The sequence below is a fragment of the Homo sapiens genome, chromosome 2 (assembly GCF_000001405.40).
Source record: "Homo sapiens chromosome 2, GRCh38.p14 Primary Assembly".
NCBI classification, from domain to species: domain Eukaryota; kingdom Metazoa; phylum Chordata; class Mammalia; order Primates; family Hominidae; genus Homo; species Homo sapiens.
The window spans coordinates 233,658,698-233,675,177 of record NC_000002.12 but is presented as its reverse complement, the minus strand read 5'-3'; the positions used below and the strand labels follow the sequence as shown (position 1 = coordinate 233,675,177).

At 38.0% G+C, this 16,480-nt stretch overlaps 3 protein-coding genes and 1 further gene across 3 annotated transcripts in view; all 4 read right to left on the bottom strand.

Moving 5' to 3' along the window:
- UGT1A9 (UDP glucuronosyltransferase family 1 member A9) overlaps positions 1-3,280 on the bottom strand; it is a 101,403-nt gene extending 98,123 nt beyond the window's left edge. Inside the window, exon 1 of the mRNA NM_021027.3 lies at positions 2,389-3,280. Coding sequence (NP_066307.1) covers positions 2,389-3,243 — 855 coding nt within the window. The 5' untranslated portion in view covers positions 3,244-3,280. The remainder of the gene's footprint in view (positions 1-2,388) is intronic.
- UGT1A (UDP glucuronosyltransferase family 1 member A complex locus) overlaps positions 1-16,480 on the bottom strand; it is a 187,861-nt gene that overhangs the window by 98,122 nt on the left and 73,259 nt on the right.
- UGT1A8 (UDP glucuronosyltransferase family 1 member A8) overlaps positions 1-16,480 on the bottom strand; it is a 155,668-nt gene that overhangs the window by 98,123 nt on the left and 41,065 nt on the right. The gene's annotated exons all lie outside the window — the stretch shown is intronic.
- UGT1A10 (UDP glucuronosyltransferase family 1 member A10) overlaps positions 1-16,480 on the bottom strand; it is a 136,853-nt gene that overhangs the window by 98,123 nt on the left and 22,250 nt on the right. The gene's annotated exons all lie outside the window — the stretch shown is intronic.

The window sequence follows — 16,480 nt, the reverse complement described above, 5'->3', positions numbered from 1 at the left end:
AAAGTATTTAATTACATCCCTGGATGTAATTCCCCTGGATAGCCTCAAGGAGATTTTGTTACAGGAGACCTTCAAGAAAATCCCCTATGCAGGGTCTGGGACACTGCACACAAACACACCTGCACATACACAAACACATACATGTGCAAACACATACTCCATCATCAAGTAATGCTTCCTTCTCATCAGACAGATAAGACACAGACTCTGAATCCTGTTTCCCAGCAAGATGTAACCAACTGCATGCTTTTCCCAGACACATCCTGGCATCTGAAACAAGGAAGGAGCAATATGAAGTGTCCATCCTTCTGTCAATGACAATTTACTTCTGTGGTTGGGCCATATCCAAGGCTCTTTGCCGGAAAGCCTTCTTTGAGTTCTGAATTCCTCTGTGAGAACTCCGCTGGCTTTACACGTATAGTCATAAATACATACATTAATATATGTAATCTTCCACAAGTATAAAAACTTTCATACATCCATATTCTTTAATAGACACATAAACACATTTATTTCATATCTCATAAAAGATATTTATAATCAAAATAAATGAAACCATATATAGTTTGATGTTTCATATTTTATAGATAACCCTCTATCATAGGTGATATAAAATCATATATAGGTTTTTATATCTCTAAAGGCCTCTGGGTGACGCTGTGAGGCACAATAAATTCAGTGTGGGTTCAGGAAGTGGCAGGGCCTTACCCTCAGCCAAAGGTTGTGGGGTGCAGGCAACACATAAGTGGTGCCTGTTACTACAATTAATGGAGGATACTATAATTTATGGAGGGTAAAGGGGAGAAAAGTGCTTAGACAAGTCTAACCTCTTAGATTTCTGCCATTTGCATCTCCTAGCCTAGTCTTGTGAAGATCCGAAAGTCATGCCTAATTTTGAAAGGCCTACAACTGTAGTCCTCCTGCTTTTTAGAAAGAGCATTATTTCACTTTCCCATGAGTTGGCTGAACAGTCACTCTTTCACCAAACATCTGCCAATATGTGAGAGAATATGACTGTGTTACCAAGTCTACTGAACCTTGTAAGGAGCCAGAACAATAGATAAATTGTATACTCCATCCCTCCAAAATAATATACTGAGATTAGACATTAGGTGTTTAATCTGGATTCAGCCAACTACACATTTGCTAAGAATGTTATTCTGGTATTTGTCATGGACTTTTCAATCACAAGTGATTGAATCCCTATTTAAAATTTAAACTGGCTACTCTCACAATATTACTCAATAGTGCTTTGGAAGTATAAGCTCCAGCAAAGCAAAATAAGTGGTATAAATATCAGAGAAGGGAATTCTTTGCAGTTGACATTGTATATTGTACATCTACTGTATACTACAAAATAATAAGATAAGTTAGTAATGTGGCTGGATACAAGATACATATGCAAAAAACAAAACCTTAATTACCCATAGTCAGTTACATGTAGAAATGGAAAAATTGTCCTGTACCCAATAGTTTCAAAAATAATGAAATGCTGAGGAATAAATGTTAATAAGAAACAGAAAATGCTTATATAGTGAAAAATTTTATTTATGTATATAAAACAAGATCTGAATAAATAGTGAGACATACATATTCCTGAACAGGAAGACACAATAGCAAAAAAATGCCAATCCTTCTCAATTCATGGAAATCCTGTAACCCTACATGTAGGGCTCTAGTCAACTAAGATAAAAGCAAGAATATGGAAATATATTCATGTAAGGAAAGTATTAAAGAGTGTTTACACGGCCCTATTCATAAAGACAAAAAATGCAAAATGCCTAAATCTATATCAATATTAATTGGTTAAAAACTACATTGCATCCAAAGTAAAGTATTTTATGCAATTATTAATAGAACTTGTCAAATCTGTCTGTATTGGTCTATAAAGGTATTTATAATTTATTGGCAAGTGAAAAATGCAAAGAAAAGAAGAATATGTCCAGCCCAATACTAGATTTTATTTTAACAAAATAGGTGTGAGAATTTACATTAGATATTGTATATACCTAAAGTACTTTTTTAAAAACATTAAAAGAATGTTCACAAAACTAAGACCATTTCCTCTGGGGCGGGCATATAGAATTAACAAAAAAGGGAAGTTTCATTTCTTACTGTGGTTTTTGGTACTTTTCTAAACATGGTACTTAAAAATGTAGGCTGAATATGTTCCACAATTTTATAAGTTATAAATACATATCTTCAAGAAGGGCAGTTTTATAAAATTTGCTACTGACGAGTACACGCATTGGCACAAAATAATTTGTTAAACTGGAAAGAAATTTGAAATGAAACAAATGAAAATGTCAAATCACAGTTCAGTAAAGAATCCTTTTTTAATTTCCAAAGGTGAAGTATTCTTAAGGTGCTAAAGGAGAGATAACTTACCATAGGCAACGGCTTTCCCTGATGGCAGTTGATACCACCAATGAAGATCATGTTGGGCATCACGGGTTTGGGATAGTCCAAAACAAAGTCCGTTCGCAACAACCAAATTGATGTGTGGCTGTAGAGATCATACTCCGTAACAGGTGTTTGGAGAATTTCAGAGGCTATTTCTAGGGCATTTTTGAAAAAACGGTGGCATAATAAATGTTCCTCCAAGTGCATGATGTGGTTCCGTACTCTCTCCTTGAAAGTCATGGCATCTGAGAACCCTAAGAGAATTCTGGGGACATAGGAAAGAGGAGCAGGGCACTGTGCACCTTCTTCAAGATAGTGGCAAAGTATTCCCCTGGCGAAGACCACGGAGGGGAGGGAGAAATATTTGGCAACAATTAAGCCACAGTTATCAAAAGGATCGAGAAACACTGCATCAAAAGAACTCTCCTTTAAGTATTCTACTAATTTTTTGTCTTTAAACAAACTCCTGCAATTTGAAAAAAATAAGTCAAAAATGTCATTGTATGAACCCATTAATAGAGAATATATACTTCGTACTTGTGCTTTCCATTGAGCATGGGCAAAAGCCTTGAACTCCCGGTCCAGATCCTCCAGGGTATATGAAGTTGAATAAGTCTTCACTGTGCAATTCAGTGATCTTCCCAGTTGCCAACTCACCTCTGGCATGACTACAACCACCTCATGCCCCCTGAGAATGAGTTTCTCCACCACCGACCTCATGGTGAACCAGTGGCTCCCATCCATGGGCACTACCAGTAGCTTCCCTGCCTCGGCAAAGCCACAGGTCAGCAGCAGACACACACATAGAGGAAGGGGGCTGGTCCACCCTGTGCAAGCCATCAGAGAACTGCAGCTGAGAGCAAGCAGCTGGGAATCTAAGCTCCTATGATACAGTAGGTGGGAGAAATACCAGCACAAAACCTGACCCCAATAGAGGGCGTGTTTTTATCCTTTCATAAAAAAAAAATCAGTCACTGACAATGATTTACCCAAAAGAACAAGAATATATGAGTAGCTTTTGCTGAGATATCTATTTGTATGTTTTCCAGACAACAGTAGCTTATGGTCTTTGCCTTGGGGGCAGAACATGCCCTGTGCTGCAATGTTAAGTTTAGAAGCAGAATTATTAACCAATGCTTTTGGACCTTGAAGGTTCAGAAAGATAAAGTAAAAGTAAATTTGATTAAAGCTAATTTTTTTTGGAATTTGTCCCAGAGCAAAATTTAGATTTTACCTTTAGGCAACCAAATACTCTCTGTCCAGAGAAGATGGCAACTCATGCTCTAAGCAAAGAAAACAAGGCCCTTAGCACTGACCTCCTAACCTCCTAAATTGGGGCTCGCCTGTGTCTCTGCAATGCATACATATTGCTGCTTCTCTTCTTCCATTTCCAAACCCTGAGAAGCCTCTAAAATGCTGAAATGAGACTGACAACCCTGCTTCCATGGACCATACCAGGGACTTGATGGAAAGTAACCGTCTCCTATTTTAAATGGCTTTCCTAAGATACATCGCACGCAGTGGGAAGTTGCCCGCCCAATCCTTGCGAGAGCACTCTGCTGAGCTGCCTCTCAGTGACCGCTCAACTTGCACATTCTAAACACGCCATCACTCCAGTGCCCTCCTTCAGGAAAATATGTACTTGTCTCTCTCAGTCTGCTGAGCACTCCTTGAGGTCAGAGGTGATGTCAACTTTGTGTTTTCACCCTCCTTTCACAGTACCCATGCTATGCCTTTGACATAGTTTGTATGTTTGTATGTTTGGGTTTACAAATAGGACTGCCCCCATCCATAAGCCTGCTAGCCTCCAAGCCTTAAAGGGAAAAGATCAATACCCACTGCCAGTTTTTTTGTTGTACAAGAAGGCCTCGGCAAGAACACTTTTTCTGGATTGGTTCTATCATTACTTTGTCCCTGAAGTCAGGTAATATCTTGCCAGTAAGAGACGGTCTTTCAAAGTTCTTTTGATTTTTGGACAATGCCCCTAGCCACCCAGAACCCATGAGTTCAACACTGAAGGTGTCAAAGTGGTCTACTTGCCTGCAAACCCAACATCTCTAATTCAGCAACAAAAGGTGGGGGATATGGTCTTTCAAGATATGAATCTGTGAGAAATTCAAGAATGAATAGACACCACACCAGAGGAATCAACAGAAGATGACTTGATGGAGATGAGTGCTTTTGAATCAGTACCAGATACTAAAGAAGACATAGAAGAAGCCATGCCAGAAAACAAATTCCTATTAAACAGTTTGGCAAAGGCTTCCAATTATTAAGACTACTTTTGACTTATTTTACAACACAAACCCTTCCATGAATGGGCACTGAAACTAAAGCAAATGGGGAAGAAGGACTAGTACTGTAAAAAAGCATTTTCAAAGAATTGCAAAGGCAAAAAAGTCAAATAATAATTATGATGTAATTCTGTAAAGTTACACCAAGTGTACCTGTCTCTCCTCCTTCTTCCTCCACTTCTTCCCCCTCTGCCACCCCTGAAACAGCAAAACCAACCCACCTCTTCCTCCTTCTCAGCCTACTCAATGGAGGACAATCAAGAGGAAGACCTTTATCATGATCCACTTCCACTTAATGAATACTTAATTTTCTCTTCCTTAAGATTTTCTTAATAACATTTTCTTTTCTCTAGCTGACTTCATTATGATAATACAGTATATAACACATATAACATGCCAAATATGTGTTAAGCAACTGTTTCTGTTATTGGTAAGGCTTCTAGTGCACAGTAGGCTATTAATAGTTAAATTTTTAGGGAGTCAAAAATTCTATGTGTGCTGGGCGTGGTGGCTCACACCTGTAGTCCCAGCACTTTGGGAGGTCAAGGTGGGCGTATCACGGGAGGCCAGGAGTTGGAGACCAGCCTGGCCAACATGGTGAAACCCTATCTCTACTAAAAATGCAAAAAATTAGCTGCAGGTGGTGGTGCATGCCTGTAATCCCAGCTACTCTGGAGGCTGAGGCAGGAGAATCACTTGAACCCGGGAAGCGGAGGTTGCATTGAGCTGAGATCACGCCATTATACTCCAGCCCGGGCAAAACAGCACGACTCTGTCTCAAAAATAAAAAACAAAAAGAAACCCACAAAACCTTTCTATGCTAATTTTTTACTGCTCGGGGGTTGGTACCTCAATCCTCACATTCTTCAAGGGTCAAATGTACTAGCAATGAACAATTGAAAATTGGAATGAAAACAGCACCTAAATAGCATCAAAAATAAAAAATACTAACAGATAAATCTGACAAAAGATGTGAAAGATTGTACACTGAAAACAACAAAACATTGGTGAGAGACCTGAATAAATAGATATGTTCATGAATCAGAAAACTCAAAATTGTTAAAATGTTATTTTTCCTTAGTTGATCTATAAATTTAATACAACCCCAATCTAAATTCCAGCAGGCTATCTTTTTGTACAAATTGGCAAACTGATTCTAAAATTCATAGGGAAATGTAAAAGACCTACAATAGCAAAAATAACTTTTAAAAAATAGAAAAAAAAATGGAGAGCAATTATTACCTAATTTCAAGACTTATTACAAATCTATAGTAATCAAATATTTCACAAAAAGATCATTGGAACAGAATAGAATACCCAGAAATAGAAGTATGAGCAACCAAGTTTTTTCAAAGGTGCACAGGCAATTCTGTGGGGAAAAGATGACTCTTCAACAGTTGGGTATCCATTCGCAAGAAAGCGGGAAAACACATTACCTTGTGGTCTTCCTCCTAAAAACCTATAACCCCTGTGTTACCATAATCAAAACATCAGACAAACTCAAACTGAGGAACATTCTACAGAATACCTCACCAGAATTGCTCAAAACTGACAAAGTAATCAAAACCAAGGAAACTCTGAAAAACTGTCACAGGCTAGAGGAGATGAAACAAATGTGATGAGTAAATGTCATGCGGTATCCTGGATGGGATCCCAGAAAAGAACAAGGACATTAGGTAAAAATTAATGACATCTAAAGAAAACATAGACTTTGGTTCAACATAATGTGTCAGTGTTGATTAATGAGTTGTGATAAATGTACATAGGTGCTAGAGAAGATGTGGAGAAATAGGAACGCTTTTACCCTGTTGGTGGGAGTGTAAACTAGTTCAACCATTGTGGAAGACAGTGTGGCAATTCCTCAAGGATCTAGAACTAGAAATACCATTTGACCCAGCCATCCCATTACTGGGTATGTATCCAAAGGATTATAAATCATGGTACTATAAAGACACATGCACACGTATGTTTATTGGGGCACTATTCACAAAAGCAAAGACTTGGAAGCAACCCAAATGTCCATCAGTGGTAGACTGGATTAAGAAAATGTGGCACATATACACCATGGAATACTATGCAGCCATAAAAAAGGATGAGTTCATGTCCTTTGTAGCGACATGGATGAAGCTGGAAACCATCATTCTGAGCAAACTATCGCAAGGACGGAAAACCAAACATTGCATGTTCTCACTCATAGGTGGGATTTAAACAATGAGAACACTTGGACACAGGGCGGGGAATATCGCACACCGGGGCCTGTCGAGAGGTGGGGGTATGGGGGAGGGATAGCATTAGGAAAAATACCTAATGTAAATGACGAGTTAATGGGTGCAGCAAACCAACACGGCACATGTATACATATGTAACAAACCTGCATGTTGTGCACATGTACCCTAGAACTTAAAGTATAATAAAAAAAAATGTGCACAGTAAACTAACATTTAGCAATAGGGGAAACTGGCAAAAGATATATGGGAATTCTTAGTGCAATTTTTTGCACCCTTGCTTTAAATCTAAATTTATTGTAAAATAAAAAGTTTACAGTCCCACCAACAGTGTAAAAGTGTTCCTATTTCTCCACATCCTCTACAGCACCTGTTGTTTCCTGACTTTTTAATGATTGCCATTCTAACTTGTGTGAGATGGTATCTCATTGTGGTTTTGATTTGCATTTCTCAGATGGCCAGTGATGATGAGCATTTTTTCATGTGTCTTTTGGCTGCATAAATGTCTTCTTTTGAGAAGGGTCTGTTCATATCCTTCACCCACTTTTTGATGGGGCTGTTTGATTTTTTCTTGTAAATTTGTCTGAGTTCATTGTAGATTCTGGATATTAGCCCTTTGTCAGATGAGTAGATTCCAAAATTTTCTCCCATTCTGTAAGTTGCCTGTTCACTCTGATGGTAGTTTCTTTTGCTGTGCAGAAGCTCTTTAGTTTAATGAGATCCCATTTGTCAATTTTGGCTTTTGTTGCCACTGCTTTTGGTGTTTTAGACATGAAGTCCTTGCCCATGCCTATGTCCTGAATGGTAATGCCTAGGTTTTCTTCTAGGGTTTTTATGGTTTAAGGTCTAACATTTAAGTCTTTAATCCATCTTGAATTAATTTTTGTATAAGGTGTAAGGAAGGGATCCAGTTTCAGCTTTCTACAAATGGCTAGCCAGTTTTCCCAGCACCATTTATTAAATAGGGAATCCTTTCCCCATTTCTTGTTTTTGTGGGACTGTAAACTAGTTCAACCATTGTGGAAGTCAGTGTGGCTATTCCTCAGGGATCTAGAACTAGAAATACTATTTGACCCAGCCATCCCATTACTGGGTATATACCCAAAGGATTGTAAAACATGCTGCTATAAAGACACATGCACACGTATGTTTATTGCAGCACTATTCACAATAGCAAAGACTTGGAACCAACCCAAATGTCCAACAATGATAGACTGGATTAAGAAAATGTGGCACATACACACCATGGAATACTATGCAGCCATAAAAAATGATGAGTTCATGTCCATTGTAGGGACATTGATGAAGCTGGAAACCATCATTCTCAGCAAACTACCACAAGGACAAGAAACCAAACACCGCATGTTCTCACTCATAGGTAGGAATTGAACAATGAGAACACATGGACACAGGAAGGTGAACATCACACACCAGGGCCTGTTGTGGGATTGGGGGAGGGGGGAGGGATAGCATTAGGAGAGATACCTAAGGTTAAATGACGAGTTAATGGGTGCAGCACACCAACATGGCACATGTATACATATGTAACTAACCTGCACATTGTGCACATGTACTCTAAAACTTAAAGTACAATAATAAAAAATAAAAATAAAAAAATAAAAACAAACAAACAAAAAGAGTTTACTTTAAAAAAAACATCTACAGACTGGTAAAGGATAAATATCCAGAATATAAATAATCTTTAAAATTCAATTTTAAAAAATGTTTTTTAATGAGCAAAGATTTGAACAGAGAATAACCCAAGAAGGTACACAGATGGCAAACAGGCACATGTAAAGACGTTCAAGATAACTAATGATTAGGGTAATCAAACTAAAACTGAGGTTTAATCCACATCCCGTTAAAATAGCTGCAATGAAAAAGATTGAGCATATCAAATGATATAGCTGAATTATCTGTCCCTCCCAAATCAAGTGTTGAAATTTGATCTCTAATGTTGAAAGTGGGGCTTAGCAGGAGGTGTTTGAGTGGATCCCTGATGAATGACCTAGTGCCCCCTCCCAGTAATGAGTGAACTTCCCATCTATTAGTTTCAGCAAGAACTGATTATTAAAAAAAAGCCTGGCACCTGCCTCCTTTTTCTCTTGCTTCTCTCTAGCCATGTGATCAGCACCCTCCACCCTCACCTTCTGCCATGAGTGGAAGTAGCCTGAGTCTCTCGCCAGATGCGGATGCTGGTGCCATGCTTCTTGTATCGCCTGAATGAACCACCAGCCAAATAAACATGTTTTCTTTATAAATTAACCAACCTCAGGTATTCCTTTATCGCAATGCAAACGGACTAAGACATCCAGTGTTGGTGAGTATGAACAGCTGGACCTCTCATATGCAGGTGGTGGGAGGGCACCTTGGTCTGGCCGCTTGTAAATATTGTCTGGCAAATTCTTAAAAAGGTAACCATACACCTACCATAGATCACAACTACTCCACTGTTGGGTATTTATCCATAAGAATAAAATACTTCCTGTATTGTGTGTATTTTTAAATTTTCTGTATATTATTATATTTTTGCATCTTAAAAATCCCTATCTGGTAGGGATGCAGTGCACCTCCCTGGGTCAGCCAATTATTACAGATAGCAAAGGGCCTGCCCTTAGACCTCAGAGCCCACTGAAATTATTCAAACCAACCAATGCTAAACTGTTTCTCCTGCCCTACCTTGCCTTTCCTGCAGAAACTCCAGTAGAGCTATGGTCTAGCCTCTACCCTCATTCCTATTGCTTCTGCCTCCTGTATTTCAAGTCAAAAAGTGTACAAGGCACTACTTTGCCACAGCCACTACTTCCATTCTATAGCAGTCAGGGTTCAATGAGAGAAGTAAAGCTGCTGGGGATGCACATGATGAAGAATTCATCAGAGGCTACGAATATGGAAATATAGTAATGTAAAGAAAGTATTAAAGAGTGTTTACATACTAATGTGCAAAAAGACAAATTTGGAAAATGCCTAAATCTATATCAATATTAATTGGTTGAAAAAACTACATTAAATCCAAAGTAAAGACTTTCATGTCATTACTGAAAGAACTTGTCAAATCAGTCTGTATTGGCCTCTAAAGATGTCTATAATTTATTGGCAAATGAAAAATGCAAAGTAAAGAACAATATGTCCAGCCTGGTACTACATTTTAACAAAATAGGTGTGAGAATATGCATTAGATATCTGCATATGCATAAAATAATTTCAAAAAATGAAAATGATGCACACAAAACTACTAAGAGCATTTTCTATAGAATTGGCAAAAAAGGGAAGTTTCATTTCTCACTGTGGTTTTTGGTATTTTCCCAAAAAGAGTATCTTTAAATGCAACTTGGATATGATCTACAATTATAAAATTTGTTAACTGAGAGGTCCATGAAGTGGCACAAAAGGATTCATGAAACTGGAAAAAAATTCCAAATGAGACAAATGAAAATGTCAAATCACAGTTCAGTGTTATAGCTTGGATATTTGTCCCCACCCAAATCTCATGTTGAAATATGATACCCAATGTTGGAGGTGGGGCCTGGTGGGAGGTGTTTGGATCATGGGGGTGGATCCCTCATGGCTTTGTGTTGTCCTTGCAATAGTCAGTGAGTATTCACAAGATATGGTCAAGTGTGTGGACCTCCCCCACCAACTCTCTCTTGATCCTGCTTTTGTCATGTGACATGCTCCTGCTTCATCTTCTACCATGAGTAAACACTCCCTGAGGCTTCCCCAGAATATGAACAGATGGCAGCGCCATGCTTGTACAGCCTGCAAAATCTTGAGCCAATTAAACCTCTTTTATTTATAAATTACCCAGTCTCAGGCATTCCTTTATGGCAACGTAATGAAGGGTAGAAAATTGGTACCAACAGAAAATAGTACTAATAGAAAATTGGTACTGAGATGTTGCTATAAAGATACTGAAAATTTGGAAGCAACTTTGGAACTTGGTAGCAGGCAGACGTTTGAAGAGTTTGGAGGGCTCAGAAGAAGACAGGAAGATGAAGGAAAGCTTGGACCTTCTTAGAGACTGGTTAAATGCTTGTGACCAAAATACTGATAGAAAAATCAGCAGTGAGGGCCAGGCTAATGAGGTCTCATGTGAAAATGAGGAAGTTATTTGGAACTTGAGCAAAGGTCACCCTTGCTATGCCTTAACAAAGAACTTGGCTGCATTGAGTCCATGCTCTAGGAATCTGTGGAACTTTAAACTTGAGAGTGATGACCTAGGGTATCTGGCAGAAGAAATTTCTAAGCAGTAAAGTATTCCAGATGTGGCCTGGCTGCTTGTAACTACCTACACTTAGATGCAAGGACAAAGAAATGACTTAAAGTTGGAAGTTATATCATTCTACTTGTATGAGGTATCTAAAATAGAGAAATTCATAGAATCAAAAAGAGGAATGGTGGTTGCAAATGAAACCGCCTTTGCAAAATTATGCCTGAGACAGTGAAAAAGATCTAACTTAACTGACTCCATCTTGCTTCTAACCTCCAAGCTGTCCTTGTTCATTCCTGGACATAGACTGAACCAACTTTGGGAGAAACTTATTTTATAGTTGTTTAAAACAAAGACAATAACAGCCCTTTCTCAAAGCAGACCTCCTTCTTGCCAGGGGACTAGATTCCCTTTGTAGGACTAGCATTAGCCACAAGATTAGAAATTATGGTTTAGGATTCATGCAGATGGAGGTTACGAGATTCTGACCCTCCCTAAACCACTCCTAAGATCAGTGCTTGAGACATTTTGCAGACCCTGTCCTTGATGGATCAGCTGGCACCACCCAGATCAATAAACTGGCTCATCTGCTCTTGTGGCCCCCACCCAGGAACTGATTCAGTGCAAGAAGACAGCTTCAACTGCCTAAGATTTCATCCCTGACCAATCAGCACTCCTGGATTACTGGATTCCCCCAACCCACCAAGTATTCCTTAAAAACTGTTCCCCAAATTGCTTGGGGAGACTGATTTGAGTAATAATAAAACTCCGGTCTACCACACGGCTAGTTCTGCATTAATTACTCTTTCTCTATTGCAATTCCCCTGTCTTGTTATATTGACTCTGTCTAGGCAGCAGGCAAGGTGAATCCCCCGGGTGGTTACACCAGGGCTTGGAGGAGAGGGGAATGGGCAATTATTGTTTAATGGGTCCCAAGCTTCAGTTTGGGAAGATGAAGAGAGTTCTGCAGATGAATGGTGGTGTTGGTTGCACAGCAATGTGAATACACTGGATACTGAACTGTGCACCTAAAGTGGTGAAGATGACAAGGTTTATGCTATGTGTATTTCACCATAATTAATGATAAAATAAATAAGCTTTAAAAATAAATCTAAGTAACATACCATATAAATAAACTAAAACTGTATAACCATGTAGCAATCTTAATAGTTACAGAAAAAGTGTTTGACAGAGTCCAAAATTCATATCTGACAAAAAAAAAAAAAAACTCTCAGCAAACTAGGAAAAGAAGAGAAGTTTCCAAAGCTAATGAAGGGCATCTTGGAAAAACCCACAGCTAACATCATCCTTAATGGTGAAAGACTGAATGCTCCACTCCTCAGATCAGACACATGCCAAGAATGGGGGCTAATTACTACTTCCATTCAACATTGTTCTATTCAATGCAGTCAAACAAGAAAAAGAAATTTAAAATATCCAGATCTGAAAAGTAAAAGGATCTCATTCACAGTCAACATGATCATCTATGGGGAAATTCCAACAAACTCTACAACAACCTCCAAGAACAAATAAGTAAGTTTAGCATGGTTGCAGGATACAATAAGTAAAAGTTAATTTCATTTATATAAATGGTTACTCATGAACATTAAGAGTTTCAACGGTGTTGGTCCATTTATGGGCAGATTTGTTGCAATAAATATATTAGAAAATGTTATGGAGATTTGCAACAAATTGAAAAACTTGCAGATAAGCCACATAGCCTACAATAGTGAAAAAATTAAGAAAAACTTGAGTATGTCAGGAATGCCTAAAATATATATAGCAACGAGTCTATTTTATCATTTACTACCATATTATAGACACAAATCTATTTTAAATAGTTAAAATTTATCAAAACTTATGCACACAAACACTTACAGACTATACATGACACCATTTGTAGTCAAGAGAAAAGTAACAAAGGTAAGTTTGCAGCATTAAGTCATAACTGCATAGAGTTAACTGTGCCTACTGTACTATTGTGATAATTTCATAGCCACCCCCTGTTGCTATTGCAGGGAGTTCAAGTGTTGCAAGTATCCACTCAGTACGCCGTGTGAGGCTGATCATCTCCATGTGTACAGTTCATCCCTCCAGTAAATTGTGTATCACAGTAAACACTGATCTCACAGTTCTCATGCATTGTTTGTCATGTTTGGTGCATATCAGAAACTCTAAATAATACCATAGGACCCATACAAAGTGTCGCTAGTGATGCCTCAAGTGCTCCCATGAAGCAGAGAAATTCATGATATTACAAGAAAAGTTGAATTGCTTGATATGTACCATAGGTTGAGGACTGCAGCTGTGGTTGGCGATCATTAAAAAAAAAAAAAAGAATCCAGATAAGGACCTTTGTTTAAAAAGAAAGAAAGAAAGAAAGAAAGAAAGAAAGAAAGAAAGAAAGAAAGAAAGAAAGAAAATTCAGTAAGTCTTCACTGCAGTGATGCCAGCAGGCTTCAAACCTTGCACTTTTTCCAAAATATCTTTTTATCTCATATTAAAAATGCAGCTTTTCAATCTCAATGGACTCCACTGCCAAGGTAGAAAGAAGGATATTCAAAGAGTTAATGGATAAAAAGAACTAGGATTCCATCTGTGGGTTAAAGATTAATAGTGAGAAAGGTCTTACTGAGAAACTGGCAGATTTTTTAACCAAGTGAAAACTATCATATATCCTAAGTGTTTAAGGAGTCTCCTGGTGGTAATGGTAATGACAGCACCATGGTGTGCACAGCCCACACAGAGAAATAAGTTCTTTACAGCCTCATGGGAAGTCCTCTGTGCCCTATCAACAAATTCAAGACCAAAAGTAGAAAATTAAGGTAGGAAAATAGACCAGACTGTTGGGGAACGCTCACATATTTCAGAAAAAAAAAGTCTGAAACTAGAGTCATTACATCCATAGATAATTTGTCAAAGAGTAATTCTGTATCATGATTATCTACATAAAATTTTATTATAAAAAATGCAGCTTTTATGTGGGTGTAGGATGGTTATAAGAAAGGCATACCTATATACTCTAATATGACCTGAGAAAAACAAAGTCATTATATGACAACATAAAGCTAAATAAAACTGAAGGATATAAAGCTGGAGAATTTAATGGCAGCAAAGGATGGTTTGCTAGTTTTAGAAAGAGGTTTGACTTTAAAAATCTCAAGATAACAGAAGCAACTTCTGCCAAACAAGAGGTAGCAGGTGACTTCCCAGACCCCATGAAGAGAAGCATTGAGGAGAATGAATATCTGCCTGAGCCAGTTTTTAATTCATGCAAAAGTGCCCTATTCTAGAGAAAAAAAATGCCACAAAAGACATTTATAAGTAAGGAAGAGAAGCGGGCACGAGGATTTAAGCCAGGAAGAGATAGACTAACTCTGTCGTCTTATGCAAATACAGTCCAATTTATGATTAAGAATAACCTTATCTATAAAGCTGCTAATCCTTGAGCCTTTAAGGGAAAAAATAAACGCCAGCTCCCAGTCTTTTTGTTGTAGAACAAGAAGGCCAGTACAACAGAAACACTTTTTCCAAACTGGTTCCATGAAAACCAACGCTTTGTCTCTGAAATCAGAAATACCTTGCCACTAAAGGACTGTCTTTTAAATTACTTTTGATATTGGACAATGCCTCTAGCCATCCAGAACCCCATGAATTCAACACAAAAGGAGCCAAAGTGGTCTCCATGTCCTCAAACATCATCTCTAATTCAGCCATTAGAACAAGGGGTTACAAGGCACTTTAAGGCTCATTACACATGGTTTTCTATGGAAAGGATTGTCAACACTATGGAAGAGAATGTCAGCGGGGCGAACATCATGAAAATCTAGAAGGATTACACTGTGGAAGATGTCCTTGTTGTATAGAAAAAGCTGTGAAAGCCATCAAGCCCTAAACAATACATTATCGCTGCAGAAAACTGTGTCCAGATGTTGTGCGTGACTTCACAGGACTTAAAACAGAGCCAATCAAGGGACTCATGAAAGAAATTGTGGATATGGCAGGCAAGAAAAACAAGGTGGGCATAAAGAGTTTGAAGACAGAGATCTTGGAGATACTTAAAAGCTAATAGACACCACACCTGAGGAATTAACAGAAGATGACTTGATGAGATGAGTGCTTTTGAATCAGTACCAGACAATGAGGAAGAAGATACAGAAGAAGCAGTGTCAGAAAATAAATTGACATTAGACAATCTCGCAGAAGGATTCCGATTATTGAAGACTGCTTTTGACTTCTTTTGCAAATTGTACCCTTCTATGATATGGGCACTGAAACTAAAGCAAATGGTGAAGAAGAATTCATACTATATCAAGCATTTTTAAAGAACTGAAAGAGCAAAAATGTCAGACAGTAATTATGATGTATTTCCATTAAGTTAAATCGAGTGCGCCTGCCTCTCCTGCCTCCCTTTCCACCTCCTCCACCTCTTCCTCATCTGCCATCCCTGAAAAAGCAAGACCAACCCCTCCTCTTCCTCCTCAGCCTACTCAGTGGAGGACAATCAAAAGGAAGATCTTTATGATGATCCACTCCCACTTAATGAATACTTAATACATTTTTTCTCAACCCTAAAATTTTTTCTCAAACCTTAAAATTTTCTTAATAACATTTTCTTTTATCTAGCTGACTTTATTACAATAATACAGTATATAACACATAAAGCATATCAAATATGTGTTCATTGGCTATTTACGTTATTGGTAAGGCTTCTGCTATACAGTAGGCTATTAATAGTTAAGTTATGGGGGTCAAAATGATATGTGGATTTTAGACTACCTGCGAGGTTGGTATCCCTAATCTCCACATTGTTCAAGGGTCAACTGTACTAGCAATGAACAATTGCAAATTGAATGAAAATACCACTTAACATCAAAAACATGAAATACTTAGGGATAAATCTGATCAAAGATGTGAAAGACTACACTGAAAACTAAAACACTGAGGAGAGATCTGAATATAGAGATATGTTCAAGAATTGGAAAACTCAAAATTGTTAGGATGCTGTTTCTCCCCAGTTGAACTGTAACTTAAATATGATTTCAACCAAAATCCCAACAGGCTTTTTTTTGTGCAAATTGGCAAACTGACTCTAAAATTCATACAGAAATGTAGAAAACCTACAATAGCAAAAACAACTTTGAAAAAAATTAGAGAGCTAATACTACTCATTTCAAGACATTACAAAGCTATAATTATCACATATTTCACAACTGGATCAATGGAACAGAGTAGAAAGTCCAGAAATAGATGTTTAGCAGTATGAACAACCAAGTTTTTACAAAAGTGCAAAGACAATTCAGTGGAGAAAAGACTACTCTTTTCAAGAGTTGGCTATCCATAGTCAA